The 27,992-nt window shown below is 44.7% G+C and overlaps 1 protein-coding gene and 3 non-coding genes across 9 annotated transcripts, besides 11 other annotated features; 2 read left to right on the plus strand and 2 right to left on the minus strand.

Moving 5' to 3' along the window:
• Positions 1-1,070: 1,070 nt before the first annotated feature.
• On the minus strand, positions 1,071-1,153 carry TRL-TAA4-1 (tRNA-Leu (anticodon TAA) 4-1). The gene has a single exon. It is a non-coding gene; the product is annotated as a tRNA-Leu (tRNA).
• Positions 5,989-6,038: a silencer, noted in NCBI's record as "silent region_17022". NCBI's record gives its function as "represses an Ori minimal core promoter by ATAC-STARR-seq in GM12878 lymphoblastoid cells {active_cell/tissue: GM12878}" and the evidence as "EXISTENCE:reporter gene assay evidence [ECO:0000049][PMID:35858748]".
• Positions 6,025-6,097, plus strand: TRV-AAC5-1 (tRNA-Val (anticodon AAC) 5-1). Its single transcript has one exon. It is a non-coding gene; the product is annotated as a tRNA-Val (tRNA).
• Positions 6,049-6,098: a silencer, noted in NCBI's record as "silent region_17023". NCBI's record gives its function as "represses an Ori minimal core promoter by ATAC-STARR-seq in GM12878 lymphoblastoid cells {active_cell/tissue: GM12878}" and the evidence as "EXISTENCE:reporter gene assay evidence [ECO:0000049][PMID:35858748]".
• Positions 7,857-7,936: an enhancer, noted in NCBI's record as "active region_24275". NCBI's record gives its function as "activates an Ori minimal core promoter by ATAC-STARR-seq in GM12878 lymphoblastoid cells {active_cell/tissue: GM12878}" and the evidence as "EXISTENCE:reporter gene assay evidence [ECO:0000049][PMID:35858748]".
• On the minus strand, positions 8,087-8,160 carry TRI-AAT5-3 (tRNA-Ile (anticodon AAT) 5-3). The gene has a single exon. It is a non-coding gene; the product is annotated as a tRNA-Ile (tRNA).
• Positions 8,773-9,273: an enhancer, noted in NCBI's record as "H3K27ac hESC enhancer chr6:27206036-27206536 (GRCh37/hg19 assembly coordinates)". NCBI's record gives its function as "activates a minimal SCP1, AML or CMV promoter by ChIP-STARR-seq in naive H9 embryonic stem cells {active_cell/tissue: H9 hESC(naive)}" and the evidence as "EXISTENCE:reporter gene assay evidence [ECO:0000049][PMID:30033119]".
• Positions 8,937-9,226: an enhancer, noted in NCBI's record as "active region_24276". NCBI's record gives its function as "activates an Ori minimal core promoter by ATAC-STARR-seq in GM12878 lymphoblastoid cells {active_cell/tissue: GM12878}" and the evidence as "EXISTENCE:reporter gene assay evidence [ECO:0000049][PMID:35858748]".
• On the plus strand, positions 18,217-27,136 carry PRSS16 (serine protease 16). 6 transcript variants are annotated; one of them, NM_005865.4, is made up of 12 exons: positions 18,217-18,323; positions 18,398-18,564; positions 19,363-19,462; positions 19,616-19,745; positions 21,199-21,322; positions 21,558-21,635; positions 21,733-21,780; positions 22,266-22,556; positions 23,324-23,465; positions 25,209-25,388; positions 25,502-25,647; positions 25,763-27,136. In NM_005865.4, exons 1-12 carry the CDS (start codon positions 18,254-18,256, stop codon positions 25,829-25,831), a joined length of 1,545 nt encoding a protein of 514 aa, NP_005856.1. In that variant the 5' UTR covers positions 18,217-18,253; the 3' UTR covers positions 25,832-27,136. The 6 variants fall into 6 exon arrangements, with proteins under 6 accessions (NP_005856.1, XP_016865651.1, XP_016865652.1 ...); XM_017010162.3 differs by lacking the exon at positions 25,209-25,388; XM_017010163.3 differs by lacking the exon at positions 22,266-22,556.
• Positions 21,268-21,317: an enhancer, noted in NCBI's record as "active region_24277". NCBI's record gives its function as "activates an Ori minimal core promoter by ATAC-STARR-seq in GM12878 lymphoblastoid cells {active_cell/tissue: GM12878}" and the evidence as "EXISTENCE:reporter gene assay evidence [ECO:0000049][PMID:35858748]".
• Positions 21,448-21,517: an enhancer, noted in NCBI's record as "active region_24278". NCBI's record gives its function as "activates an Ori minimal core promoter by ATAC-STARR-seq in GM12878 lymphoblastoid cells {active_cell/tissue: GM12878}" and the evidence as "EXISTENCE:reporter gene assay evidence [ECO:0000049][PMID:35858748]".
• Positions 21,658-22,027: an enhancer, noted in NCBI's record as "active region_24279". NCBI's record gives its function as "activates an Ori minimal core promoter by ATAC-STARR-seq in GM12878 lymphoblastoid cells {active_cell/tissue: GM12878}" and the evidence as "EXISTENCE:reporter gene assay evidence [ECO:0000049][PMID:35858748]".
• Positions 22,298-22,818: an enhancer, noted in NCBI's record as "H3K27ac hESC enhancer chr6:27219561-27220081 (GRCh37/hg19 assembly coordinates)". NCBI's record gives its function as "activates a minimal SCP1, AML or CMV promoter by ChIP-STARR-seq in primed H9 embryonic stem cells {active_cell/tissue: H9 hESC(primed)}" and the evidence as "EXISTENCE:reporter gene assay evidence [ECO:0000049][PMID:30033119]".
• Positions 22,408-22,577: an enhancer, noted in NCBI's record as "active region_24280". NCBI's record gives its function as "activates an Ori minimal core promoter by ATAC-STARR-seq in GM12878 lymphoblastoid cells {active_cell/tissue: GM12878}" and the evidence as "EXISTENCE:reporter gene assay evidence [ECO:0000049][PMID:35858748]".
• Positions 22,598-22,797: an enhancer, noted in NCBI's record as "active region_24281". NCBI's record gives its function as "activates an Ori minimal core promoter by ATAC-STARR-seq in GM12878 lymphoblastoid cells {active_cell/tissue: GM12878}" and the evidence as "EXISTENCE:reporter gene assay evidence [ECO:0000049][PMID:35858748]".
• Positions 27,137-27,992: the final 856 nt, after the last annotated feature.

Genomic DNA, 27,992 nt, shown 5'->3' on the forward strand with positions numbered 1-27,992 from the left:
TAGCTGAACATTTCTAGTCTGAAAGACTATTTGCATTCGACAATCTTGCTCGCATTTGGGATAATTTCTCCTACTTGAGTCTGATTTTTGTAAGGAATATTGAGAGCCTTAATAGTGGAGTTGGGCTTCTCTGAGTCCCGCTCTCTGGCAACAAAAAAAAGCAGTGCTTGTGGGATTCGCTTTTGCCTGCATCAGAGCCAAAGAGAACCTAAACGCAAAATATTTCACAATTTCCCTTCTTTTGGAACTGAATCGCCTGCAGAATTCAGGTCTCTTTAGGTAGAACATCCACTTAGGCTCTCCTCTTCCCACAATTCCTTTTTTTTGAGACAGAGTCTCACTCTGTCGCCCAGGCTGGAGTGCGGTGGTGCGATCTCAGTTCACCGCAACCTCCGCCTCCCTGGTTCCGGCGATTCTCATGTCTCAGCCTCCGGAGTAGCTGGGCTTACAGGCGTGCACCGCCACACTCTGCTGATTTTTTTTTTTTTTTTTTTTTTTTTTGAGACGGAGTCTCGCTCTTGTCGCTCGGGCTGGAGTGCAATGGCGCGATCTCGGCTCACTGCAACCTCCACCTCCCGAGTTCAAGCGATTCTCCTGCCTCAGCCTCCCGAGTAGCTGGGATTACAGGCGCCCGTCACCGCCCTTGGCTAATTTTTGTATTATTAGTAGAGACAGGGTTTCGCTATGTTGGCCAGACTGGTCTTGAACTCCTGACCTCAAGTGATCCGCTCGCCTCAGCCTCCCAAAGTGCTAGGATTACAGGCTTGTCAATGTACTTGAATACATCCCACAGTGATAGGAATGTATTCAAGACTTGAATACACTGTGCTGTTAGGCCATAGGAATTGTGGGAAGAGGCGTCTCCTACTTAATACTGCTCACCGAAGCAATTTCCTTGAAGATTAAAAAAAAAAAAGTAGTGTTGGGCAGAATATTGTTTAATAACCTTCGTTATTATTTGAAGCGTTTACACGCAAAGTGAGAAGGTTGTCATATTAGTTTTTATGTAAGCATACCTGGCTTCCAACTCTGCGGCAGAAACCGCAAACGTCAAAGTACACACCAACGCTTACCGGGAGTGGGGCTCGAACCCACGCGGACACCTGTCCATTGGATCTTAAGTCCAACGCCTTAACCACTCAGCCATCCCGGTGATAACAGCCAGTTTTGTTGTCAACGTTTACTAGGCTAGAATTTGTAGTTTCTGGAAGATTATGAGTAATTTTATATCCGCGAAAACTAGGACCATGTTTAAAAGAGTGTACAAAGTTAATAAATCTTTCTAATATTGCTTGGAAATAAACAAATGAAAAGATATATTTCCAAAAGTATGACTTAATCACTAATTTGCGACAGGCATTATGCTAGGTGTTAGGGAAAGACGAACCATCCCTGATTCCTTGGACTTCCATTAAAATGAGGCGTGTTGAGGGAAATCCACGCCTGTCAATGCTAGGATCAGAGCTGAATCCTAAAGATTCAGCAACCTCCGCCTCCCGGGTTCAGGCGATTGCTGGGTGTAGGAAAGAACATGTCAGAGAAAAGAGTCTCCCATACATTGACATACAGAAGAGTTTTTAATTATTCTATTGTTGTGATTTTTTAAAACATGGACTATACAGTATAATCATCTGTGGATTTTGTAAAATATACTTATCTAGATAGTTTAAATTCCTACATATGACAGACAAAAAAATAATAGAAACGTAGAAAAATAGCTTTATTATCTAGGGGACAGAATAACATTAAACAAACAAACAAAACTAAAAACACAAACAATAGGCCGAGCGTGGTGGCTCACGGCTGTAATGCCAGCACTTTGGGAGCCCGAGGAGGGCGGATCACCTGAGGTCAGGAGTTCGAGGCCAGTCTGGTCAAGATGGCGAAACCCCGTATCTACTAAAAAATACAAAAATTAGCCGAGGGTGGTGGCATGCGCCTGTAACCCCAGCTACTCGGGAGGCTGAGGCAGGAGAATCGCTTGAACCTGTGAGGCGGAGGTTGCAGTGAGCCGAGATCGTGCCACTGCATTCCAGCCTGAGCAACAGAGCAAGACTCCGTCTCAAAAAAAAAAAAAAAACCACAAACAGTAAAGCAAAACACTGATATGGTCTGCTGCACCCAAATCAAAGAAAGCCACAATGGAACAGTAAATAGACAAATACAACCAAAGTAGAAGATACTTGAAATATTTACAAATGAAAATAACTTAATCTACATGATATAGTAAGAAGCCATTAAAATCAGCAAGATCAAACAGCAAGCTCAATAGAAAATGTGTAAAGAAGCTGGGCGCGGTGTCTCAAGCCTGTAATCCTAGCACTTCGGGAGACCGAAGCTGTCGGATCACCAGGTCAGGAGTTCGAGACCAGCCTGGCCAATACGGTGAAACCCCGTTTCCACTAAAAATACAAAAATTAGCAGGGCGTGGTGGCAGGCGCCTGTAGTCTCAGCTGCTCGGGAGGCTGAGGCAGCAGAATCGCTTGAACCCAGGAGGTAGAGGTTGCAGTGAGCCGAGATTGTGCCACTGCACTCCAGTCTCGGTGACAGAGCAGGACTCTGTCTCAAAAAGAAAAAAAGAAAGAAAAGAAAATATATAAAGAATAGGGACAGGGTCCTCATCAAACCCATGATAAGAAGAACCTGAAAAGATTAACATTTTAAATATTTAATATTATCAATATAAAATGCAAGATAAAATAAGTTATTACTCAACCTACATTACATTGGAAGAATTAGAAAGCTTGATGTGTCCATTATTGCAGAAATGGGAATATGGAAGCCCTCATATCCTGCTGGTGGAAGTTTATATTAATGTAGCCATTTTGGAAAGCAGTCTAATACTTTTTACTCAAGTTAAGATTGACACACTCAATGACCTAGGTATTCGGCTCCTAGGTGTATATTCCCCCTCATGTCACAAAGATATAGATTGTATCATATGTGGATGTTAATTGCCTCACTATTTTTCCTCTTCCAGAATCAGATTCAGCCTTGAAGCCAACATTGAACAGTAGATACGTGAAGTGTGGTAAACACATAATATTAAATATTATGCAACTATGAGATGTACTAGAGTATATGTAAATGTACCAATCTTTTTTTTTTTTTTTTTTTTTCTTGAGATGGAGTCTCACTCTTTCACCCAGGCTGGAATGCAATGCCATGATCTTGGCTCACTGCAACCTCCACCTCCCTGGTTCAAGGAATTCCCCTGCCTCAGTCTCCCGAGTAGCTGGGATTACAGGCACACGCCACCACGCCCGGCTAATTTTTTTTGCATTTTTAGTAGAGATGGAGTTTCACCATGTTGGCCAGGCTGGTCTCGAGCTCCTGACCTTGTGATCTGCCTGCCTTGGCCTCCCAAAGTGCTGGGATTACAGGCCTGAGCCATAGCGCCTGGCCGCATGTACCAATCTTAAAAAGAAATTTTTTTTTAAAAAGATACTTGGCCGGGCGCGGTGGCTCACGCCTGTAATCCCAGCACTTTGGGAGGCCGAGGCGGGTGGATCATGAGGTCAGGAGATCGAGACCAGCCTGGCTAACAAGGTGAAACCCCGTCTCTACTAAAAATACAAAAAATTAGCCGGGCGCGGTGGCGGGCGCCTGTAGTCCCAGCTACTGGGGAGGCTGAGGCAGGAGAATGGCGTTGAACCCGGGAAGCGGAGCTTGCAGTGAGCCGAGATTGCGCCACTGCAGTCCGCAGTCCAGCCTGGGCGACAGAGCGAGACTCCGTCTCAAAAAAAAAAAAAAAAAAAAAAAAAAAAAAGATACTTAACACAATAAGATTTTCCCTTCTGTTAGCACTAATCATTCTGCTCTCTGGCATTCAAAATCTTGCTACTTGCTACTGCTCATCATTTTCTCATCTTTTTGTCCCTGTGTATTTATGTCTTTAAACACCCTTAATGCTTTGTATAAGTGTAGTTTGGAATAAAGAGAAAGCAAAAGCTGTGCTTAATTTGCCATCATTATAATTAGGTCTATCTGTGACTTACTATGATTTTTTCTCACCATGGAATCCTAAGGATTGGTAAAATAGTGTGTGGTGATATCCACTTGTGGTGATAGGGAACCATCATTTTATTGGGATCAAATACCAAAGAGTCTAGAAAATAAAATTTTACGTCAAATTTTCTTGTCTCTCATTTCACCACTTCAGTCTATTGAGGTTAAGCTGAAAGAACAAATATCACATCCAGGACAGAACCTCATTTGCAAGCTGCTTGCTATTTTTCTGACCACTTTCCCTAAGTTCTGACAAATGCTGGCTCAGTTACTACTATTCCGCCTTCCTTACCGCTCCAACTTTTCAAAATATAGAGCTAAAAGCCAGATCCACATGAGCTGCCCTAGAAAGACGCAAATGCCTTTATATCCTGGGCATTTTCTATTCCTGGGGTTCTGGACTCAAGACCTTCTCAGGCCATCTGAATCCCTGGCCTACTCTTTGTTGGCTGAAGCTGGCAGCTTTCCACATTTTTCACAGCTTCCATGCTAGTCTCAGAAATCAGCTGTTAATTTGGTATTCTGAATGTTTGGCAATTGTAAGCACTTGGGCTTTGTGGAGGGCCCTTTATGGAAGCCAGAAAAAAATGAGGAAATGTTAGCCAGACCCCAGAACCCTGTAGTCTGCTGGAGCAGGCAACCAGATGATAACAATTGTAAAATAATTCATTGGTCTCTCTATTATGAAATTTAAAAAGCAGGATAAAGGGATCAGTCCTTGGTTTATTTTGGATCTCCTGCAGAGCAAAACCATGACCTTCTGCATATAACACACAGTGATAATCACTACACTAACACAAAATGTCATAGCTGAGGACAGGTACAAATGCTAGAAAAAAAATGGCTACAGTAAAATCCAAGGATAGTCTCACTACAAGATAAAGTAAGGAGAGTATTTCAAGTGCTAAACAATTTTATATGCATCTCAATTGGCACAAGTTTGAAAGACCCATCAATTACAATACACTGAAAAAAGGTAAGTTTAGATATCCAAAACTGAACTCTTGATTGTTACTTGTTCTCATTCATTCATTCACTAAAGAAATGTTAATTAATTCTCTACTAAAAGTCCTAAGCCAGAGACTATTAAGTAGCTGGGAATAAAGCAGTGGACACGACAGACAAAATATCCTTTTCCTCATGGAATTTATGTTTTAATTCCTATCAAATAGCTGTTGATGATCAAATATGCTATCTTTTGACGAAAATTTTTACCATAGTTAGCAGAACTCTATCGCTTCTTTAGGATTTATAAAATCTAGCCTACTAGATGCTTTTCACTATGCTAAGGATGAGATAATTATGGATGAGGAAGCTTATCCTCATGTTCATATATATATATGTATATAAAACAGCAAAAAATACATAGTGTGAGAAGCATATATACATATATATACATATGTGTAAATATACATATGTATTTATTACCAATTACCATGTATGATATATAGATATTTGCTCATTGGTAACTGATCCTAATGAATACGGTTGTTCTGTCTTGATTTTAAACTTCCCCTTACACACCCAAGCTATTTATTTCTTGTTATACGCCTTTGCATGAACACTGCGTCTGCCTTTTGTTTCAAACCTCAAGAAAGAGTCTCATTTAGGAGTAAGCGGGACTTTGAATGAATCTCACTGACAGGCTGCTAGCATGAAGAAAAAAATACTCGAGGTCACCAATATCCTGCTTAATTTTCAGTCATCGAGAAATGAACATTAGAGCGTCTTATGAGAGCAGAGAGCAGAGAACATACCAAAAAAAAAAAATGAACTGAAATAAAATTTCCCGAGAGACTGCCTGATATTTCCCCGCCCTGTGCTTCTGAAGGAATTGAAGCTTCAGGAGAAGCATTTGCTTGATTTCGAGTTGTCGGGTTTTAAACTATGTATTCTAAGAATTAGAAAGTGTAGGGGAAAATATTACCCCTCTGCCAAAGATATACCCTGACGGAACGGATAAATTTAAAGTTCATTTTAACTAATTCAAAACTGAAAAACACTCTCACTAAGCGAGTTTCCGTAGTGTAGTGGTTATCACGTTTGCCTAACACGCGAAAGGTCCCCGGTTCGAAACCGGGCAGAAACAGAGCGTAGTTTCGTTTTTTTGGTTGTTTTTTTTTTTTTTTTTTTTTTTTTTTTTTTCTTCTCTTGAGAAGGAGTCTCACTCTGTCTCCAGGCTGGAGTGCAGTGGCGCGATCCCGGCTCACTGCAACCTCCCACTCCCTGGTTCAAGCGATTCTTCTGCTTCAACCTCCCTAGTAGCTGGGATTAGAGGTACGCACCACCACGCCCAGCTAATTTTTGTATTTTTAGTAGAGACGGGAGTTTCACCATGTTGGCCAGGATAGTCTCGAGCTCCTGACCTCGTGATCCACCCGCCTCGGCCTCCCACAGTGCCGGGATTACAGGCCTGAGCCAGCGCGCCCGGCCCATAGTTGTTTTGTGAAATTCTGAATCTGTTTATATATATATATGTGTGTGTGTGTGTGTGTGTGTGTATACACACACACTATATATATGTTTTATATATATATAAACATATATATAAACATTAGTTATATATATATAAACATTATATATATATAATTTTTTTTTGAGACGGAGTTTCGCTCTTGTTGCCCAGGCTGGAGAGCAATGGCACGATCTCGGCTCACTACAACCTCCACCTCCCGGGTTCAAGCGATTCTCCTGCCTCAGCCTCCCTAGTAGCTGGGATTACAGGCATGCGCCACCACGCCCGGCTATTTTGTATTTTTAGTAGAGGCGAGGTTTCTCCATGTTGGTCAGGCTGGTCTTGAACTCCCTACCTCAGGTGATCCGCCCACCTCGGCCTTCCAAAGTGCTGGGATTACAGGCGTGAGCCACCGCGTCCGGCCCAGAACTGGTTTTCAATCAGTTCAATCTGTCAGTAACAATCGCTTCTGTGAACACACTTTTGAAAACCAATCAGTGTCTGCTCCTGGCTTCGGAAAGTGAGCTGATCAGGGATGGACTCACTCCAATAAACATACCTATGAGTGCCGACCAAACAATGGCAGTCTCTGACAAGTAACCATGCTCCCATAGATTATATCAACCTAATGAAAAAAAGATCAGCCATCTGTTCTGTTTTCAGGGACTGTGTTTTACAATATAGCTCTCCCTCGAATGAGCTTTGATTTTGTCTTTTTAAAGTATTGAGCGGTGGTTTCGTCATCCTTTGAAAATGACCCTTTGTCAGATCTGAAATGTCTAAGTTTCGTTTCTTGCTGGGATTATTTTTACCATTTATTTTTCACATCTGTAATTCTGTGTATTCTATAAAATGATATAATCTTTACAACCACTTTGTTTTGCTGTAAATGTAGACCTTGGCAGGCTTTTGCTCCTTTATATATGTTTATCAGTCAGACTGGGCAAACAAAATCCCAATGTTTGAAAACACACTCTAATGGCGAGTCTTCAACAGTCACTCCACAAATATTTACCGAATGCCTACTCTGTCTTCAGAGCCATTCTGAGACCTGGTGATCTGGAAGAAAAAAGAAAAAAATTATGTCCTCAAAGACGAAAATTCTGATGAGAACAGACTGAGAATTTAATATGAAAAAAAGGAAAGCAAAATATGTATGCATTGTTTCCCATTGTGATTATCTTAATAAAAAATATCAATTTCAACAGTGTCCAAAGATAGCTCCAGGGGTGAGCAGACCATCAGGTAGAGGAAGCACGTGACAGGCACAAGCAGACTCCATAGGCTGGATCCTGAGAAAGGGACCAAAAAAACATGGAGTTCGGATGGACAGCGGGCATCAGACACACATCCAACCCCAGTGCTACCCCCCTCTCTAACACCCTCATTTTCTTCACTAAAATTTCTGTCTTAGGGCGTCATGTCACTTGTTCCATAAGATTTTCTTTTTTCTTTCCCAAGCTCCTTTAGAGGAGTGCAAGACTGAAATGGGTAGGTGTGACTGCTGAAGAAGAAATGGCATCATTTAATTCCGACTTTAAATTGAAGAAGCTGTTATTTCCGATGTATAGCTGGATGTGAAGTGACTGCGGCAAAATCGGAGAGAGAAGGTGAGAACCCTCGTGGCCCGTACGGGGATCGAACCCGCGACCTTGGCGTTATTAGCACCACGCTCTAACCAACTGAGCTAACCGGCCACCCGGAAAACAGTTGTTCTTTCAATTTTAAAAAAGCAAAATGTTTGTTGTTTTTGTGTTTCTTTAACACTAAAGGAAATTCTTTTCCTCTCCTCAAAGGGATGTCTTTTAAAATAATTTTAATTGCGACTACGTAATATTGTTTCTTCAAACTTCTGTTGGTGTTTTGCATTTTCCCTTCCTGCACTCCCGCAGGGAAGAAGGAAAACAAAAACAAAAACAAGGACAAGGCCAAAAACTCTACCTCCAGCAGAAAGGAACTTCGCCTCTCCCGTGGGAAATGAGATTTTCTCAAACTCACCTATTCCGCCCGGAGAAAATACTACAGAGAACCATTCACGAGAGGGGCTTCCTTCCTTTTGACCTTGGGAGGGGTCCAGAGACCCGGGGGACGATCTGGGAGCAGAAGCTGGTCGTTCTGAGTTTTCCATCCAAATGGTTTGCTTATGAAATTGACTCACCACGCGGAATGGCTGGTGGATTTGGATCGCGGCATGAGGAATCCGCTCCATAATGGAAGGAAGAAAATCTCCGGCAGCTATGCCTCGCGGGTTCATAAGGACTGGAGAGTTACTCCTTCTCTCTGGCCCCCTCAAAACGCCCGGTGGTATGTCTGTTGCTCCACTACGCGTTATTATAATTAACTGCTTGTGTTACTCTTTGTGCTGTCTTGCTCTTCATTCTCCTGGTACCTCGGGTGCCCGCACAGCATGGTAAGCTGCTCAATAGTTCAATGAATGGGGAAAAGGTGTGCAGAGGTCATTTCTGCTGATTATCAAGACTTCAATTCTTCGAAGTGGAGCACGAGGATCCTCTAGGCGGCAGGCAAATGTCATCAGGAGTCTCAACGTCTTCCCCCCAAAAAACAATATTTTCAACAGAAATCAATTTACCTCCTCATTGGTGGTGGAATGGGAAGATGGTGGAGAAAGCTGTCCTTTAATAACAGCTCGGAGGTCTCCGTTCTCCAACAAAGGACTTTGTGCATACCTTTTCTCTCCCAGTTCCCGCCGCTATGGCTGTTGGAAGACTAAGGACTTCCACTCAGCCGGGCTTCGGCGCCTCTTCCTGTCCGGGCGCGGCTACGGTTCCTGGTACACATTCGCTGCGCCTCGGGCAGCCTAAGGGTGCTCAAGTTCAACAAGGTCAGCACCCAGTTCTTTTCAGACAGGGAACACACTGGCGATGCAAACAGGGTTGAGCTGGTTCAGGTATGCATGTGTTGAAATAGACAAGTCTGCGTCCTAGAGCCCTAGCAACGATCCCGAACAGGCAGCTCTTTTTCCTGGACGATTTCCCAGGAATTAAGTCTGGCTCAGCTCTAGTTTGGTGTCCGGCTCTAGTTTGGTGCCCAGCAAATAAATTTCGAGAGGAAAGAGGAATTCAGACCATTTCTGGAGTGACAATGGTATCCACGAGCGAGTGCTCTAAATTTTCGGGCCACTTGGAGGTTTCTCGGATTTCTATTTTGAGGACAAAGACGATAACGCTAGCCTCCATGACCCTGCTGAATATCTAGGAAAACCCAAGAATTCGAGGGAGGCCGTGTTGTAATATCTGGTCTGAGTGGCCCTCTTTGGATTTGGAGGCTGTTTCCAATAGACACAAGATAAAAACTGAAGATTTAACAGAGCTTAGTCGTTAGCCAAGTTGGGCCCTTAGGCTTCAAAATATTGTTACCCACCGTCCTCCCCAATTTTTTAAAACTATGTCCCCCCATACACATTTTTGACAAATTAATATGTATCTTAAGATTAAGCAGATGTTTTTCTTTGTATTATAATTATTGACATTTTTAAAAATTAAAGTGTTGCATCATTCTTGAATACGTTGAAGATCATAAATTTTGAATAATGTAATAGTTTTATGCTTAAAATTATTTTAAGTTTTCCATAGCCTACTTACCTGCAACAACAACAAAAATATATATGTACATTACAATCAATTTGGGGGATGGCGCAGGCTTTTTTTTTTTTTTTTTTTTAGACAGAGTCTCGCTCTGTCGTCCAGGCTGGAGTCCAATGACGCGATCTCAGCCCACTGCAACCTCTGCCTCCCGGGTTCAAGCGATTCTCCTGCCTCAGCCTCCTGAGTAGTTGGGATTAAAGGTGCGCGCCACCATGCCCGACTAATTTTTGTATTTTTAATAGAGACAGGGTTTCACCATGTTGGTCAGGTTGGTCTCGAACTCCTGACCTCGTGATCCACCCGCCTCAGCCTCCCAAAGTGCTGGGATTACAGGCGTGAGCCACTGCGCCTGGCCGGCTTTCATTTTTATGAGTTCCTCTGCATTGAATTATCATTAAAATTATTACTTATATACAATCAAGCATAACAATAAAAATATTATGAATTTGGAAACTAATCAGTGAGTATAAAGGTGAAAGTAATTGGATATTTATCGAAATTACACAATTGGGCTTTTATAATTAGTTCGTGTAATTGTTGATAAATAAATGTACACATTGCCATGATAAGTCATTTCAATATTAGTTTTATGCCCAATTTATAACTACTGAGAAAATGCATTTTAGTATACAAATAAATGAAAATAGATCAGATTTTGTTACACAAATGTCTCAGAATTATTTAACAGTAAGTTATTTGCCAAAAATCACATAGTAACCCACAATAAATAATTACATTTTACACTCTATGCTAGTTGAGAACTTGACTAGATTCTCCCTTAATTTGTTTAAACCAAATAATTGGAAACTTCCTGACTTGCTAAAGGATAGTTAATTAGCAATTAGAACAATTCAATTACCCGGGAAAGACTCTTCCCACCCAGGTCTTTCCAATCGTCCCTGTGTTGAAGCCCAGAGTGTTTTGCACTTTGAGCTAAAGAACCTTGGTCATACTGAGAAGAGTGAGAGAAACACGGGGTTTTTTTTGTTTGTTTGTTTTTGTTGTTGTTTGTTTTGTTTTTGAATATAAGAAAGGCCATTGAGAAAATGCACACCTTGATATCAGGAGTGTTCTCAGACAGATCAATTTTAGAAAAAAATCTATATGGTGGTTGATGATAGCGCAGTGGTGCCATCTCGGCTCACTGCATCTTCCGCCTCTCGGGTTCAAGCAATTCTCCTGCCTCAACCTCCTGAGTAGCTGGGATTACAGGCGTGCCCTACCACGCCTGGTTAAATTTTTTTTTGTATTTTTTGTAGAGATGAGGTTTCACCATGTTCGTCAGGCTGATCTCGAACTCCTGGCCTTGTGATCCTCCCGCCTCGGCCTCCCAAAGTGCTGGGATTACAGGCGTGAGCCACCGTGCCCGGCCGGATCTTGCACTTTTTAAAATTAGGTCCTCTTGTGTTCCCAAGGGTAAAATTACCCTAATTTGATAACTGCTGCAGTAGACCACTGGACCTCATTCTCTGAAAAGATACTCACCATCTATCATGTCCCACTACTTTGTGGTACCCATACTCCTTAAGGACAGGTATTATTGAGTGTTTAAGTAATTTCAGCATGGCACTTGGTTAATAAGTAGCCAAGGCATATGAAAGTCACCCCGTTATTGCCTTTGGAAATCAGAATTGAAACATGTTTGAATTTGTGCCTTTGTAATCAGTGGAGAGAACGGGACAGATGTAACTAAACTCCGAGTAACACTAGGAAGTGGAGAGAGCGGGACAGATGTAACTAAACTCTAAGTAACACTAGGAAATATATTAAGCATGCGCATTAACAGGGTAAAAGAAACCTGCTATATGAACTACATATATGTAGGATTTCGGTCAGGGTGGTGGGAGAAGTTATAAGAGAAAATTATAGGAAAAACGCAAACCTTCTTGGAACGCCAGGAGGTTTTGTAAAAGCTTTAGGAAAGGCTTATGGCTGAAGGCAGCCTGATCCTCTTACCTTGAGCTAATAGTATAAAGCAAATAACAAGGAGATGTAAAGAAACTGATCTAGATAAGTTAGTTTACTTAGGCCTCCAACCCTGGCCTTTAATCACCCGCAGGACTGCTCTCTCCAGGGAGGGTGACCATATTAATTAGCCACAAGTGTGTTGACTCAAAGCCTTTGCCATTAAATCTGTACTGAATAAATGCCCGCAGGGCCAGCTTGTCAGGGCCGGGCTGCGTAATCTTTAGAACACCCTCCTCTGTGTGTGCAAGCAGGATGCAACAACTCCTTCTGTGAACGCCCGGTCCCCTAGCCTGCTCTTTCATTGGATATCTGTGTCTGAGTGCATTTTTTCATCCGATGTTCAGTCAGGGTCTGCGGGTCGGACCCGGCACATATACAGTGTTATGTGAAAAGGCTTTTCATGATATCCCAAATCATTTCGAATTTGTGAGAAAAAAACAAAAGTCTTACTTCTGAGCACCTTTGTGAGCGTCTGCCCTGCCATGAAAATAAGTTTCAGTTAGAAGCAAGAAAATGGAGCTCACTTCTAGCTAAACATTTTAAAAGAAAAAGGACAGTAATGCATGTCAGTTGATTTGGGACTATATATATATAATTTTTTTTTTGAGATGTAGTCTCACTCTATCGCCAGACTGGAGTGCAGTTGCATGATCTCGGCTCACTGCAATCTCCGCCTCCCGGGTTCAAGTAATTCTCCTGCCTCAGCCTCCCGAGTAGCTGGGACTACAGGCGCACACCACCACGCCCAGCTATTTTTTGTATTTTTAGTAGAGACGGGGTTTCACCATGTTGGCCAAGATGGTCTCGATCTCTTGACCTCGTGATCTACCCACCTCGGCCTCCCAAAGTGCTGGGATTAAAGGCACGAGCCACCACGCCTGGCGAGTCAACTATATTTTTAAAAAACCAGATTAATCAATAATGAAATTTTCACATATACAGCATAGACCTGAAACAAACATATGACTGACTCAGAACAGAAAGGCATTTAAAGACCTATTCTATCCTCACTGGGCATTCACTCCACGGCCCCAGTACGCTACCCGTCATTACCACCTGCACACCTGGACCTGTCTCAACCTCACAGTCTCTCCCAGACAGAAGCTAACCTAGCAGAGACGTCATGAGAGTTCCAAGGTTCATTTTGGGGAGTCTTGATTCCTTTTCAGGTCACTTGTAGGCACTAGAAAGATGCAGACCAGAAACAGCGAGATAACCAGGAGTTTCTTGAATTCAAATTCCTTCCACTAGTGCCTGAGGTTCTGGAGAAGAAGGCAACAGCTTCATAGCAAAAGGGAGTGACTAAGAAAGTGGCCCCAAGAAGAGGGCAGGAGATCTCTGAAAAAAGTTAAACTCCCAAAGGAAAAGGCAAGGATGGAGGGAAGATATGGGAAATATCTTTTGGACAGTGTCACTTTAAACAGATGGGTCTCCTTTCTCTGTGTAGCGCCAGGAAGTCCAGACTGTTGAGACAGAGTGAAGGGCTGAGAGGAAATCAAGATCACGTGGAAACTCGCTCACACAAGTCAAAAGATGCCCTTAGTTATCAGGTGGATTTCGCAATTTGTTTATAACGGTTGATTGAAGTTCATGAAAGCGCGCTGGATGGGGCGCGGGGGATTGAAATAAGTGAGCGCCCTAGTGTCCTGCCTGCGGATGATCATGAATCTGTTGGGCTGCGAATGGTTTAAAAAGGCAAAACAATCTAGGGGATGGATTTAAAGCTTCCTAGAGCATCATAATTTATCCCTTGTTTTACTGCTCAAATTGAGATGACTTCTGCTAAGAACAGTTCAGAGGAACAAAAACCATAGAGAAGTTACGGGTACTGGAAGCAAACCCACAATTTTTTGGGCACTAGAACCACACTCAAGCCCAACTAAGCTACCAATCATTCCACTGACTTGTCTTTGCTTCGAAAACATTAACTTCATCAACATTCTTCTCGTAGATAATCTTAGACCGGAAAGAAGTCCCTTCCCACCTTCCACCGCTGCCTCAATAAAAAGAATAATCTATTTTCGATTAAAACAAACAAACTTGGTTTTAAATCTTACTCATGGAGTAGACAAAGGATGCAGACGTTTTCAAACCTGCAGCTTCTGACTGCGTAATCCACGGAAATTTCTGACCCTCCTGAAGGACATCATGTCTATGCTCACCAGGGGTCTGACCCGCTGAACTTCAGGCAGCAGGCACCACTGCCCACAATAAAAAGATTCAGTTTCATGCCTGAAGGGATAATCTGGCAGCCTCTGGTCCTCTCTATTCAATGATTTTTCCTGGCGTATTTCAGTTCTCACTTTTCCAGCGTGTTCATGTTCGAAATTGGAGACTTTCTACCTGTTTGGTTCAGGTTTCTGGAGTCTAAGAAATTACATGAACAAATGGTATAGCCACTTTGGAAAACAGTTCAGTTCAATTTCTTTAAAAGTTAAATTTGATTTTAATATATGCTCTGGTAATTCCACATCTAGGTATCTACCCAAGAGAAATGAAAATGTATCTCAACAAAAAGACTAGTACACAAATGTTCATAGTGGCATTAGCCATAATAGCAAAAAGAGGAAATAAACCAAATGCACATTAACCAATTAATAGATAGCTCAAACATAGTATATCCATAAAACAGAATATTATTCAGCCATAAAAGGAAATGAAATGCTGATACCTGCTATAACATGGATGAACCTCAAAAACATTATGCTAAGTGGAAGAAGCCAGACATAAAAAAGCATGTATTGTAGAATTCCTTTTATATGGAATGTTCAAAAAAGGAAAATAAATATATAGAGAAAATAGATTAATGGTTGTCTATGGCTAGGAATAGAAATGGGAATTCACTGCAAATAGGCATGAAGAGACTTTTTGGGGGTTACTGAAAATGTTCTAAAACTGGATTCTGCTGATAGTTAAACAAATCTGTAAATCTACTTAAAAAATTAAAATTTACACTTAAAAACAGGTGAGTATTATGGTATGTAAATTATACCTAACAAAAGTGATTTTTTTTAAAAAAAGAGTTCAAGAGTCTTCTACAGTGGCTGTTTCCTTTTACATTTCCAATGCTTGTATTGCCTATCTTTATCAGAGCCATTTTTGTCAATATGAAGGATTATCTCATAGTTTTAATTTGCATTTTAGTGGCCGGGTGCAGTGGCTCACGCCTGTAATCGCAGCACTTTGGGAGGCCGAGGTGGGTGGATCTCTTGAGGTCAGGAGATCGAGACCAGCCTGGCCAACATGGTGAAACCCCATCTCTACTAAAAATACAAAATAGCCGGGCATGGTGGCGTGCACCTGTAATTCCAGCTGCTTGGGAGGCTGAGGCAGGAGAATCACTTGAACCCAGGAGGCAGAGGTTTTAGTGAGCCAAGATCATGCCACTGCATTCCAGCCTGGGTGACAGAGCAAGACTCTGTCTCCAAAAATAAATAAATAAATAAATAATAATTGCATTTTAGTAACGACTAATGATGTTGAGCATCTTGTCATGTGCTTATTGGCCATTGGTGTATTTTCTTTGGAGAAATCCCTGTTCAAACCCTTTTTCCATTTCCAATTGTGCTATTTGTCTTATTATTGAGTTGGGATAAACATCCCTGTCTTTCCAGTCTAGCAATTAAAACAACTAAGTAAATTCGTATTTATCGAAAAATAAATTTAGAAATTTATTAATACATTTTTTTAAATATAGGTTCTTACTGTGTTGCCCAATATGGAGTGCAGTGGCTATTCACAGGCTCGATCACAGTGTACTGCAGCTTTGAACTCCCAGCCCTCTCGTCCCAGCCTCCCAAGTAGCTGAGAATACAGGCATGCACCACCACACCCAACTTTAAATTCACTTATGTATTAAGGTTTTAAAAGACCCTTACGGCAACATATCAGTCCTTTTTTTTTTTTTTTGAGATGGAGTCTAGCTCTGTTGCCCAGGCTAGAGTGCAGTGGCATGATCTCGGCTCACTGCAAGCTCCACCTCCCGGGTTGAAGCGATCCTCCTGCCTCAGCCTCCTGAGTAGCTGGGATTACAGGCGCCTCCCCACCATGCCCAGCTAATTTTTGTAATTGTACTAGAGACAGGGTTTCACCATGTTGGCCAGGCTGGTCTCGAACTCATGACCTTGTGATCCAGCTGCCTCGGCCTCCCAAAGTGCTGGGATTACAAGCGTGAGCAACTGCGCCCGGCCATATATCAGTCTTTAAATAAAAGCCAAAGCCCTTTCTATGGCTTGCCAGCAGGGTTGAATCTCTGATTACTTCTCTCTTCTCATCTAATTCAAATTCCTTCATTGACTTTCCAGCCCACTAACTGTTGATGTTCCTTGGTGGTGCCAAGCAGGTTTGTGACTCAGAGTCTTTGCACCTGCTCTTTCTTGGGCCAGAAACCCTCTGACTCCAGATAACCTCATGCTCCCCCTGGCTCCTCATTCTTACCTCAAGTATTTTTTTCCCTGCCTTCCTCCCTCCCCACTCACTCCCTTGCCTCAACTCTTAGGTCACATTCTTAGGGAATTCTTTCCTGAGCAGAAAACTAATTCATTAATTAATCAATTTATCCATATAGCCTTTTGCTCACTGCATATTCATTGAGAACCTTTCAAGTGCCTTGAAGTAGTTTGGGTGTTATGGGTACACCAGTGAACAAAACAGACAAAATTGCTTCCCAGAATAAGCTTACTTCCTGGGGAATGGTTTGGGAGAGAAGTGCAATAAAATGTCATCACTATCAGGGAGTGACAACAGAAGGATCAGGGGACAGGGTCTCAGGTGTTGTGCCATTTATAAGGGTGGTCAGGTAAAACCCATTTGGTAAGATAAAATATATGAATGGGGAACTATAGGAAGTGATAAAATAAGACTTGCAGATATTTGGAGGAAAAGCATCCTAAGGAGAGCAAAAATTCTAAGGAAGGAGTGAGTCTTGTGAAATATGAAATAGTCCAATGCAGTTGGAGCAGTGAACCCAGGAGGGGTAGGAGATGAAATCATGACAGTATATACAACAGGGGGCCAGGTCATACAGAGTTTTAAAAACTGTTTTCAAAACTTTAGATTTACTTTGAGTAAGATGGGGCATCAGGGAAGTGTTCTAAACCAGGGAGTGAATGATTGTGAATGATTGGGCTAATATTTAATTCTGTCTCTCTGTCTGCTGAGTGTAGAATAAATCATGAGGCAGAAACAGGGTGACCAGCTAAAAGCCTTCCATGATATCCCAAGTCAGAGATGATGGTGGCTCAGCAGTGGTAGCACTGAAGGTAGTGAGAAGTCATCAGATTCTGGATATATTTTTTAAATTTATGGGAATAACTTTTTAAATGTACAATATTTCTCATAGTGATAAGTCCCATGAAAAAGAATTAGGAATAAAGTTTGAAAAGGAATAGAAGAGGGCCATAGGTTTGGCAATTTTTAAAAAGCTGACCATGGAAGACCTTTCTGAATGAATGACCTTTGAATAAAGATCCAGTTGAAGTGAGGGAGCAAACCACGTGGGTATATAGGGAAATCACAATCCATAGGGTGGGAACAACAAGAATAAGAACCCTAAGGCAGAAGCAAGCCTGGTATGTTCAAAGAACTGTAAGGAGTCTATGGACAGTGTGAGATTGTGGGTCAGAGAAGCTCGGGACAGTGAAGCAGAGCAGAAAGTGAGGGGGCTGGAAAATAGACAAGGTGAGATTGGGGGACAAAGAGATGAGTATGGAGAGAAAGACTGAAAAAGAGATGGGGGACTGAGAAAAAAGAGACGGAAAGACTGAGTGTGGGAACAACTGAGGGGTACTGAAGATATGCTGAGGGGCAGAAAGAAAAGACTGAGAATAAGTGGGCAACTGGGGTTCCAGAGGAGGTGCTGAGGTGGGGAGAGACAGAGGTTGAAGGACAATAAGGCATGCAAAGGAGGAATCTGAGATAAAGAGAAGGTAGACCGAAGAGCGGAGAGGAGGAGACTGAGACAGCGAGGGCTACTGAGAGCTGAGGGAAGAACAGACTGAGAGGCCCAGAGAGAAGAAACTGGGAGTTCCGATGCTGCATCAGCAGCCTCTGTGTACAGACTCTGGCGTCCCTGCCCCGCTTTAGCAGTTCCTACAGACGCTTGACCTGCCAGGAAAGGAAAGAAACCTGAGCCTCTGCTGAAAGGTGATGGATTTAAGGCCCGGCTGCTGAGGATAAGATAAAGGTCCTCCTGGGGGAGAACAGAGTCCCGAACACCATGGCCGTCTGGCTTGCCCAGTGGCTGGGCCCTCTGCTCTTGGTTTCCCTCTGGGGACTCTTGGCTCCAGGTAAGAGGAGGCTGAGGGTCAAGCAGGGCATCCTAAGGGGGCCAGCCTGACTTCCTTCCCTCCATGTCCCACAGCCTCCCTTCTTAGGCGCCTGGGTGAGCACATTCAGCAGTTTCAGGAGAGCTCTGCCCAGGGCCTGGGCCTGAGCCTGGGGCCAGGTGCTGCAGCCCTCCCAAAAGTGGGGTGGCTGGAGCAACTGCTGGACCCCTTCAACGTGTCCGACAGACGATCCTTCCTACAGGTGAGGCCGGGAGACGGGGAGTCCACTAACCATCCTGCCCTCTCCTCAGTCTCCCTCATCTCTTCCTCAGTCTGCACTTTTTTCTCTCTCCACACCTCAGTTCTCCCCATCCCTCTGCTTGAATCTCATGTTATGCTTGCTGTCAGTATCCCTTTTCCTGCCCTTTGTAGATTTGGCCTTACTCTCTCCTCTCCTCGGGGTCCCACTCGTTTTGTCCCTCAGATCTTGCCCTTCACCATTTCTTTCTCTCTGTCATTCACATTCACTGCTCCTCCCTACCCCCTTGTCCCTGTCCAGACTGGACACAAAACCTACCACCAGGTCTCAGTAGGTAGCAGAAATTTGAACCAGCTTTGGAATCAGACCTAGCTCACAACAGGCACTCAAAGATATCTATCGAAAGAAGGAACAAATTCGCCATTTTTCAGTGCTTCCTCTGTATTTAGTCTCCAAATATCATCCCACTTGGATCTTATTCCTAAATCCATCTGCATTTATTTCTTATTTTACAATTATTACTTCAAGAAATAGCAAGTTCCTTCAATGTGAGAGCCACTCCCTCAGTTCTGGGGATATAAGAGTGAAAAACCAGGTCAAAAATTTGCTTTTGTATATTTTGCATTCTAGATGAGGAGATGAACAGGGGAAAAGTGAGCAAGTAAATAAACAAGCTCATTTCAGACACTGTTAAGTACATAAGGAAAGATCCATTAGGAAGAGAGACTGGAACAAATGAGGAATTGAGAATAAGTCAGGACTCTCACAGTGCCATTTCTTCTTCCCCATCCCACCTCTCAGCGTTACTGGGTGAATGACCAACATTGGGTTGGCCAGGATGGACCCATATTCCTGCATCTAGGGGGTGAGGGCAGCCTTGGGCCTGGCTCAGTGATGAGAGGTAAGAGGCAATGTTGGGGGAAAGGAGTTGGGATGCTGGTGGGGACCAGGAAGGGGAGCTGCATATTGCAATGCTGTGAGACCTGAGGAGTGAAAGGGCTTAAACTCAACTTGCATCTCACCTCCCCACCCCCCACCCATACACTCTTCACAGGCCATCCCGCAGCCTTGGCCCCAGCCTGGGGCGCCCTGGTGATAAGCCTGGAACACAGATTTTATGGCCTGAGTATACCTGCTGGAGGCCTGGAAATGGCCCAGCTCCGCTTCTTGTCCAGCCGCCTTGCGTGAGTGGAGGAAGGGAAAGTGTTTATGGTCAAAGGACAGGAATGTCTGTGCTTTGGCATCTCTGCATCTGTGTCTCTCTCCTCCACTGTCTGAAGTCAACCTCTGAGTCTCTGGTTCCCTCTGTTTTCTTCTGTGTTTCATAGGGTCTTGTTTTTTCTCTTTCCATTTCTGGGTCTCTGACTCTCCCTATCTGTCTTTCTCTTATCCTGTGTTCTTTCTATTTCTGCGTCTCTGTCTGAAGTAAGCCACTGTATCACTGTGCAGACCACCAGCATTCCTTACCTGGATTACGGCCACAGCATTCTCACCATTTTTCCTGCTCTGCCCTTGACTTCCAGGTGGAAATCAGAGTAATTCTGTTAGAGCATAAACCAGGACATGATCCTCCCTGGCTTAAGTCCCTCAGACATCTTCTGTATTGCTTCAGAAGTAAAGCAATTTTGACTGTATTTGACTTCAGAGTAAAGTCAAAGCTTTTACAGTCGCCATGGAGTCCAGTGGGTTTTGGCCTCTAGTTAACTCTGACCTATACTCTCTCACTTTCACTGGGCTCCAGCTACATTGAAGTCCTCACTGTCCTCCAGACTTACACGCACATTCCTGCCTTGAGCCTTTGAACTCATCCCTCTGCATGGCGTGGCCTTCCCCTAGATGTTTTTATGCCTCTCACCCCAGCCTCCTTCAGTGCATCTCACTCCTATTAACGACCGCCACCATTTTTCCAACTTTACTTCACCTGCTTTTTGTTTCTTTCATCTGCTTTATTCTTACAGAACTTAGCTTTTTCTTTCCTCATTGGTATCTCTGTCTGTGTCTGTAACAGTCTGTTTGCCTGTCTCATTTTCTCCGTCTCTGTATCTACATCTGTGCCTCTTTGTCTCCATCTCTGTCTCTCTGCATCTTAATCTTTTCTACAAGCGAAACGGTTTTCTAACTGCAACAGGATGGTACCAACTGCAAGCCATTCAGAAAGGTTAGGGAAGAAAGAAAGCCCTTGGGAGGAGAAAGAGGATGTTAGACATATCCAAACTTCACTCTCCATTTCTCTTTGTGTCTGTTCTCTCTCCCAATACCTTGCAACTCATCAGGTTAGGACCCCTCCTTCTCCTCTTAGTAGCCCTCCTTGAGTGCCCTCAACCCTTCCCTACATTTGTCAGGTTTTCATCTAAACTGACTTGGAAATTTTTCCTCTCCTACCTAAAACGAGAAGGGAAAGAGGGTGGTGGCTTTCTAGAAAGTGGACGAGGACAGGGTCTCCCTTGGCCTAGGCACACATGTTCTGGGAAGTGTATGTGGCTTGGAGAACACTTGGAAACACGTCATGAGAAAACGGCCCTGGTTTCTGGCCAGATTCACCCATTCATGTCTCTGGATCCGGGTTTCCCCCAGAATGGGGAAATCTTCAGGGATTCCCAGCGATGAGGACCGACCGAGTCCCCCCTTTGACCCTAGGCTGGCTGATGTGGTCTCTGCCCGCCTGGCACTTTCCCGCCTCTTTAACATCTCCTCCTCCAGCCCCTGGATCTGCTTCGGAGGCTCCTATGCCGGCTCCTTGGCCGCCTGGGCCCGGCTGAAGGTCCTGCGACTCCTCCGGGTGGGCTGGGGGGAGGGAACTCGGACTCCAGGGCCCCAGTCTCAGATAATAGGAATACCCTCCCACCACGCCCCTACCTTCCTCCCGCGCCCAAAGAATTTTGCACAAGCTGTCCTCACAAGAGCCCGAGATTACACAGCGAGTAAGTGACACAGAGGCAGAAAGATATGCGATTCCAACCCCTCAGCCCGCAGGCTGACGGCGTCTCCTCCCTTAGTTCCCCCATCTCATTTTCGCGTCGGTCGCCTCCTCCGCCCCGGTGCGGGCCGTGCTGGATTTCTCCGAGTATAATGACGTAAGGATGGCGGGCAGCAGGTGCGGGACGGGGAGGGGTCCCAGCGGGCGGAGTCCCTTGACACTTCCGGATACCTTCCTCTGCGGTCCGCCCACAGGTGGTATCCCGAAGCCTAATGAGCACCGCGATCGGCGGGTCCCTGGAGGTAGGAGGTGGGGCCTAGTCCGAGGGGGACTGGGAGGGAAAAGAGGCCTCGGATGCCAGGGAAGAGGAGGCCAGAGAAGGGCGAAACCTGCAACGTGGCGGGGTCTAAGGAAGGTCGGAGCTCGGGGGAATACGCAGGTTTTGGAAGAAGGCGGGAGCTGACGAAGAGGAGGGGCACCAGGAAAAGAGGCGCTCCCCAGAGAGGGCGGGGTTTGGGCAGGGACAATCCTATCCGGAGGTGAGGCTCAAGGTGGGGCGGGGCCACAATGGAGGACGGGGCCTGCAGGGAAGACCCGAGAAGGAGGGCTGCGAGGCAGGGGATTGGGGGCGGGGGCCTGGGGGCGGGGGCCTGGGCCAAGAGCTAGGTCTGCACCCTCTGAGTCCCGCTAGGGGAAAGTGGGGAACCCAAGGAGGACGCAGGTCCTGGGTAGGGAAAGCCGAGGCCCAGCCTAAGTCTTGGCGGACATCGCCTCTTGCTTCCCACAGTGCCGGGCGGCGGTGTCCGTCGCCTTCGCTGAAGTGGAGCGGCGGCTGCGCTCGGGTGGGGCGGCTCAAGCAGCATTGCGGACGGAGCTGAGCGCTTGCGGGCCCCTGGGCCGCGCTGAAAACCAGGCGGAGCTGTTGGGGGCGCTGCAGGCACTGGTGGGAGGTGTAGTGCAGTATGATGGGCAGACGGGAGCGCCGCTAAGCGTGCGACAGCTCTGCGGACTTCTCCTCGGGGGCGGGGGCAACCGCAGCCACTCCACGCCCTACTGCGGGCTTCGTCGGGCGGTGCAGGTGAGCACTCCCTGGCACAGCTGGGAGGAGTTAGCGGACAAAGATTCCTGCCCCACTTCCGTTGTGTGATCTTGGGCAAGCGAGAACCTTCTCTGAAACTTCGTTTTCTCATCTGTAAAATGGGGATAACACTTCACAGGGCCGATGGGAAGATGAAATGAGGCGGGTCATGTAGAGCAATCAGCTGGGAGCCTGGCACACAGTGTGCGAATGTTAGAGACTGCGATTATTACCTATTTTGCCTATCCTGTCCTGTTCTCTTTTGGGGGGCCTGCAGGAGTGCCTGGCACATGGCAAATTCTCACTTAGTATTTTTAGAATGAATGAAAAAATGTTATCTCTGGGGATAGGGTTCTCCTAGGTACCTGGGACTGCAGCCTCTAAATCCACAACTGCAATCCAGCTGTCGCTTTTCCAGCACTGTCTGGACCAAGTGCTGTATAAAGTGCTTCACATATATTATTTCATTAAGTTCTCAAGAGATAGGCACTATTATTATCGCCACTTACAGAAAAGGAAACTGAAGTCTGAAAGATTATCACTTGCCCAAGCTCTCACAGGTAATAAGGTCTCAGTCTTCTAGTGCATTGATCTCTAACTCACAAGGACCCAGGCATCCACCCCCTCTGACCACTGACTCCCAGGAGAACTCAGGAACTCACCCTTCTATTTCTGACTTTTGACCTCTGGGGACATAGGCCTCTGCACCCTGGCTTGCTGGGAAGAGAGGAGGAATTTATGTCTTATGTATGTACATTGTTCCCTAGATTGTCTTGCACAGCCTGGGCCAGAAGTGTTTAAGCTTTTCCCGAGCAGAGACAGTGGCACAGCTGAGGAGCACAGAACCTCAACTGTCTGGTGTGGGTGACCGGCAGTGGTTGTATCAGACATGTACCGAGTTCGGCTTCTGTAAGTGACTGGCCTAACCCTAACTTTGTCCCCTCAAACAACCTTTTTACTATGCCCAGAGAAGTCATCTTACAGGTGGTCTGGACTCATTTCGACCCAGCTCTCAGGCACTGTGTAACCTGCAGATGTTGGGCTGGAGAAGGTGGAAGCCATACTAGTGTATGCATGTGCTTGGCCCTCACATGCCTCCTCACGCACACACTGAGGTCTCCACTTGAGTGATCTTCCCTTCAGCCTATTCTTTCTCTGTGTCCCCATTCCAGGGATGGCCCCCTTTCCCCATCCACCAGACTAGAAACTTGAGCCTTGTTTTAGTTGCTTCCTTCCCATTTTCTAGCTAGCCTGTCAATTACTGAGTCCTCCTCACTCTGCATGGACAACTCTGTAGTCCATCCCTTGTGCTTTCTATGCCTACCTCTGCTGTCCTGCTGGGAACCTCCATTCTTTCTTGCCGGGATCCCTTCCCAGCCGCTTCTCTGGTCTCATGGTTTTCACTTCCTCTGTACAATCCAACTTTTTCATAGCATCCACAGAGATCCTTGTAAATATAACCTTGTCCCTCCTGTACTCAAAACCACAGCTCCTCAAAGACCCCAGGGTAGTGTTGCCAGATACAATACAGGATGCCCAGTTAAATTTGAATTTCAGATATACAACAGATTTTTTTTTAGTATAAGCATGTCCCAAATACTACATATGGTAAATTAAATGTTCAAATTCCAGCTCCATTTTCTACTCGTAATCTTGGGCAAACTTGGGCAAGTGACTTACTTCTCTATGCCTGTTTCCACATCTATAAAATGGGAATACAAGCAATATTTCTCTCATAGGGTTGTTTCAAGGACTAAAGGAGGTAATATTTGTAGCATTCTAAGAATAATGCAGGTCTACAGTAAGTATTCCATAAACCTCTTGCTATTGTTATTATTATAAGGCTTTACATATTTTAACCCTCTTAATACATTAGTCTTCCTAACATCTTAGGAACTTTGTACATGCTGTTCACTTTGCTTGGATTATTCATCTTCAAGTCTCAATAGGGTGGCCTCCCTCAGGAAGCCATGATCCCTCAAGATAAGTCAGCCTTGCCACCTCCGACTTCGATAGCTCTGTGTTCTCCTTAGCATTTTACACAGCCTGTCATAATACATTTTTTATTGCCTGTCTTCCCCTCTGGACTGAGTCCTGTGACAGCAGAGCCTGGAGCTGTCTTGGTTGCCACCATGTGCCCAACATTGTACAACATTTATCTGAGCACCTGGTAGGTGGTCAACAAATAGGGAGGGAAGGGATGAATTAATCTGATGTTACAGAAGTTATCTTTACCCTGAAAGCACAGTGAGCTATGGGTTTTAAGCAGGGCAGACATAATACAATTTGAGCTCCGAGCATTCCAGACCTTTGCACGTGCTATTTCTTCTATTTACTATGCCTTCCTTCTCTATCTTTGTTTGGCTCAGTTCTACTAATTTCTCAAGGTCTTATCCTTTGCAGGATGCTTTCCCTGAGCCCATCATGTTTCCTCTGGGATCCCTGCCTTGTGGCCTTTTTCCATCACAGCCCTGATCACTGTGGGCTATCACTGTCAGGGGACTGTGTGAGTCTGTCTGCCAGGACTGTAAACTCCTCGAAGGGAGTATTAGAAATGTTCTGGTCATCACTGAGGAAAGCTTTGAAAATGATTATTGAAGGAGAGTGGTGGGCTGCCTGTATACCCACACTTACAGGTATCTCCCTACACAGATGTCACCTGTGAGAATCCCAGATGTCCTTTCTCCCAGCTCCCAGCACTGCCCTCCCAGCTAGACCTATGTGAGCAGGTGTTTGGGCTCTCAGCCTTGTCAGTAGCCCAGGCTGTGGCTCAGACGAACTCCTACTACGGTGGCCAGACCCCTGGGGCTAACAAAGTGCTGTTTGTTAATGGTGAGCATGCTATCAAAACCTGGCTGCTAAGCCTCCACCTAGCCCCAGCTCAACATAGCCTCATCCTCTCCCAGCACCCATCTACCTAGCCCCATCCTATCCTTTCTTTCCAGGGGACACAGACCCCTGGCATGTGCTAAGTGTAACACAGGCTTTAGGATCCTCAGAATCAACTCTTCTTATCCGCACTGGCTCCCACTGCTTGGACATGGCACCTGAGAGGCCCTCAGACTCCCCCAGCCTCCGCCTAGGGCGCCAGGTAAGAGAAAAAAGGCTCTGAATCATTTGCATTCTCATTTGAATAATCACTTGCATGTTCCCTCCTTCTGCTGGTGCTGAAATCTGACTTTCAAATTCTTCCCACCTCCCCACAGAACATCTTCCAGCAGCTACAGACCTGGCTCAAGCTGGCAAAGGAGAGCCAGATTAAGGGTGAAGTCTGAATCTCATACCCTTTCCACTCCCTGCATGGTCACCTCAGTCCTGGACATACTTGTTCACTGAACAAAAGAAAGCAGCTTGTTTTGAAAGAAGAAACTCCCAGGAATTGGAATTCAGCACCTGTTCCGCACGTAATTGGCATGTGTCTGCAAACATCCTTATTCCCAACTTAAAGTGCTTTATTGCAGAGAGTTATGGAAATATAAGTGGATGATTATTCTCATTGTAAATATTGGTATTTTGAATGTTAAATGTCAAACAAATGTGACTTATGCTGGTGCCCTCGCCCTGCTGATCAGATTCTGGTTCAAATTCTGCCACTCCAGCTCCTGGGTTAGGGGCTTTGCTGTAAGTTTCTTTTTCTGGACTTTAGATCCTGAACCTGTCCTTGCTTCTCAGTTTCTCTCACTGTACCCCTTTCCCTCAGTCTCTTCCTCTCTCTTTCCCCTGTCACTATTTGTCTTTCTAATCTCCTTCTGTTTCTCTGAATATCTTCATTTCTATCTCTGTGTTTCTGTCTATTTCTCTGTTTATCTTTCTGTCCTTCAATCTGTGTTTTTGTTTCTGGCTCTCCGTCAGTGTCTTTTTCTCTCCTCTCTCTCTTGCTCTGCCATGGCTATTTCCACTGCTCTATTTCTGACTCTCATTTTTGGTCTCTGTGTGTCTCCTAGTCACTTTCTTTCTCACTCTGTCTCTGTCTCTATTTCTGTCTCTCCTCTGCTGTGTCCTCAATCTCTCTGTCTCCCTGAGGCTCTATTTCTGTCTCTCCTCTGCTGTGTCCTCAATCTCTCTGTCTCCCTGAGGCTCTATTTCTGTCTCTGATGCTCTTCTTCTGTGTCTCTATTTCTCTTCCTGTCACTTAATCTTTTCCTTCTCTATCTCTCTTATTTAGTCTTCCTTCCACACCCTTCACTCACCATCTTTTCCCACAATCAAATATCACTCCCTGGTACTTCCAGCTTCCAACTCTAGGGATTCATGATTCTGGTGGAGATTCCTTCTTCCAGGGCCTGGGAGGATAGGGCTAATCCCAAGGGTGCCTGCTTAGGCTATGTTAGCTGTGACAGGAACCTGCCATAGATTTGCACTGTTCTTTCCTAAAGATCAATTATTTTCAGCAATAAATACTTCTCAGCTTTTTGTATGTCTTTGTATGCACAGAGATGGTAGTTTTAGAGTTTTATCCAGTTTCATATTTCCTTGTGGGTAAGAGGCAACCTCCTCATGCTGTCATACCAAAGTCAATCTCCACTACACTTTAGTTCTGCCTGTTCTTGATCTTTATATAAATGGAAACTTGCAGTATATATTATATGTTTTTGTGTCTAGAAGTTTGAAATCAAGGTGTCAGCAGAGCCATTCTCTTTCTCACAGCTCTAGGGGAGAATCCTTCCTTGCCTTCTAATCCTTCCTTGACCAAAAATGAGAGTCAAAAATAGAGCAGTGGAAATAGCCAGGGCAGAGCAAGAGAGAGAGGAGAGACAAAGACACTGACGGAGAGCCAGAAACGAAAACACAGATTGAAGGACAGAAAGATAAATAGAGAAACAGACAAAAACACAGAGATAGAAATGAAGATATTCAGAGAAACAGAAGGAGATTAGAAAGACAAATAGAAAATGCTTCTGTGCTTCTTCTGGCTTCTGGTGTTTGCCAGCATTCCTGTGTTCCTTGGCCTGTAGATGCATTACTCCAGTCACATGGCCATTTTCCCTGTGTGCCTTCACATCACCTTCCTTCTGCATGTGCCTATCCATGTGTCCAAATTTCCCCTTTTATGAGGATACCAGTTATCTTGGGCTAGGCCCAGCCTGTTGATCTGATTTTAAGTTGGTTACCTCTGTGAATACCCTGATTCCAAATATGATCACAGATTGAGGTACTGGGGATAAGGAGTTCAATATATCTTTTTTGGGGAGAAGATGGGACACAGTTCAACCCATACCACCACCAACATGATAACAAGTGAAGGCTATTTATTCAGCACTTGCTATACCAAGAGAATCCACCATCATCACTTGTGTTTGGCAGAGACTCACAACAGGCAGAGGAGTGGGAAAGCGCTATAGTGGAAAAAAGAGAAGGTTCTAGGTATGCCTTAACTGGAAGCTGTGGCATGGGGAAGCTGTGGGCAGGCTAACTAGAAGAGGGGCATCATATGTG

The sequence above is a fragment of the Homo sapiens genome, chromosome 6, assembly GCF_000001405.40.
Source record: "Homo sapiens chromosome 6, GRCh38.p14 Primary Assembly".
NCBI lineage: Eukaryota > Metazoa > Chordata > Mammalia > Primates > Hominidae > Homo > Homo sapiens.

Excerpts from the sequence above, each read along its gene's own strand:
- PRSS16 (NM_005865.4), top strand. The coding sequence starts at position 18,254 with ATGGCCGTCTGGCTTGCCCAGTGGCTGGGCCCTCTGCTCTTGGTTTCC. Across the intron at positions 22,557-23,323 it reads GGCTTCGTCGGGCGGTGCAG|ATTGTCTTGCACAGCCTGGG; the intron begins GTGAGCACTCCC and ends ATTGTTCCCTAG. Across the intron at positions 25,648-25,762 it reads GCCTCCGCCTAGGGCGCCAG|AACATCTTCCAGCAGCTACA; the intron begins GTAAGAGAAAAA and ends ACCTCCCCACAG.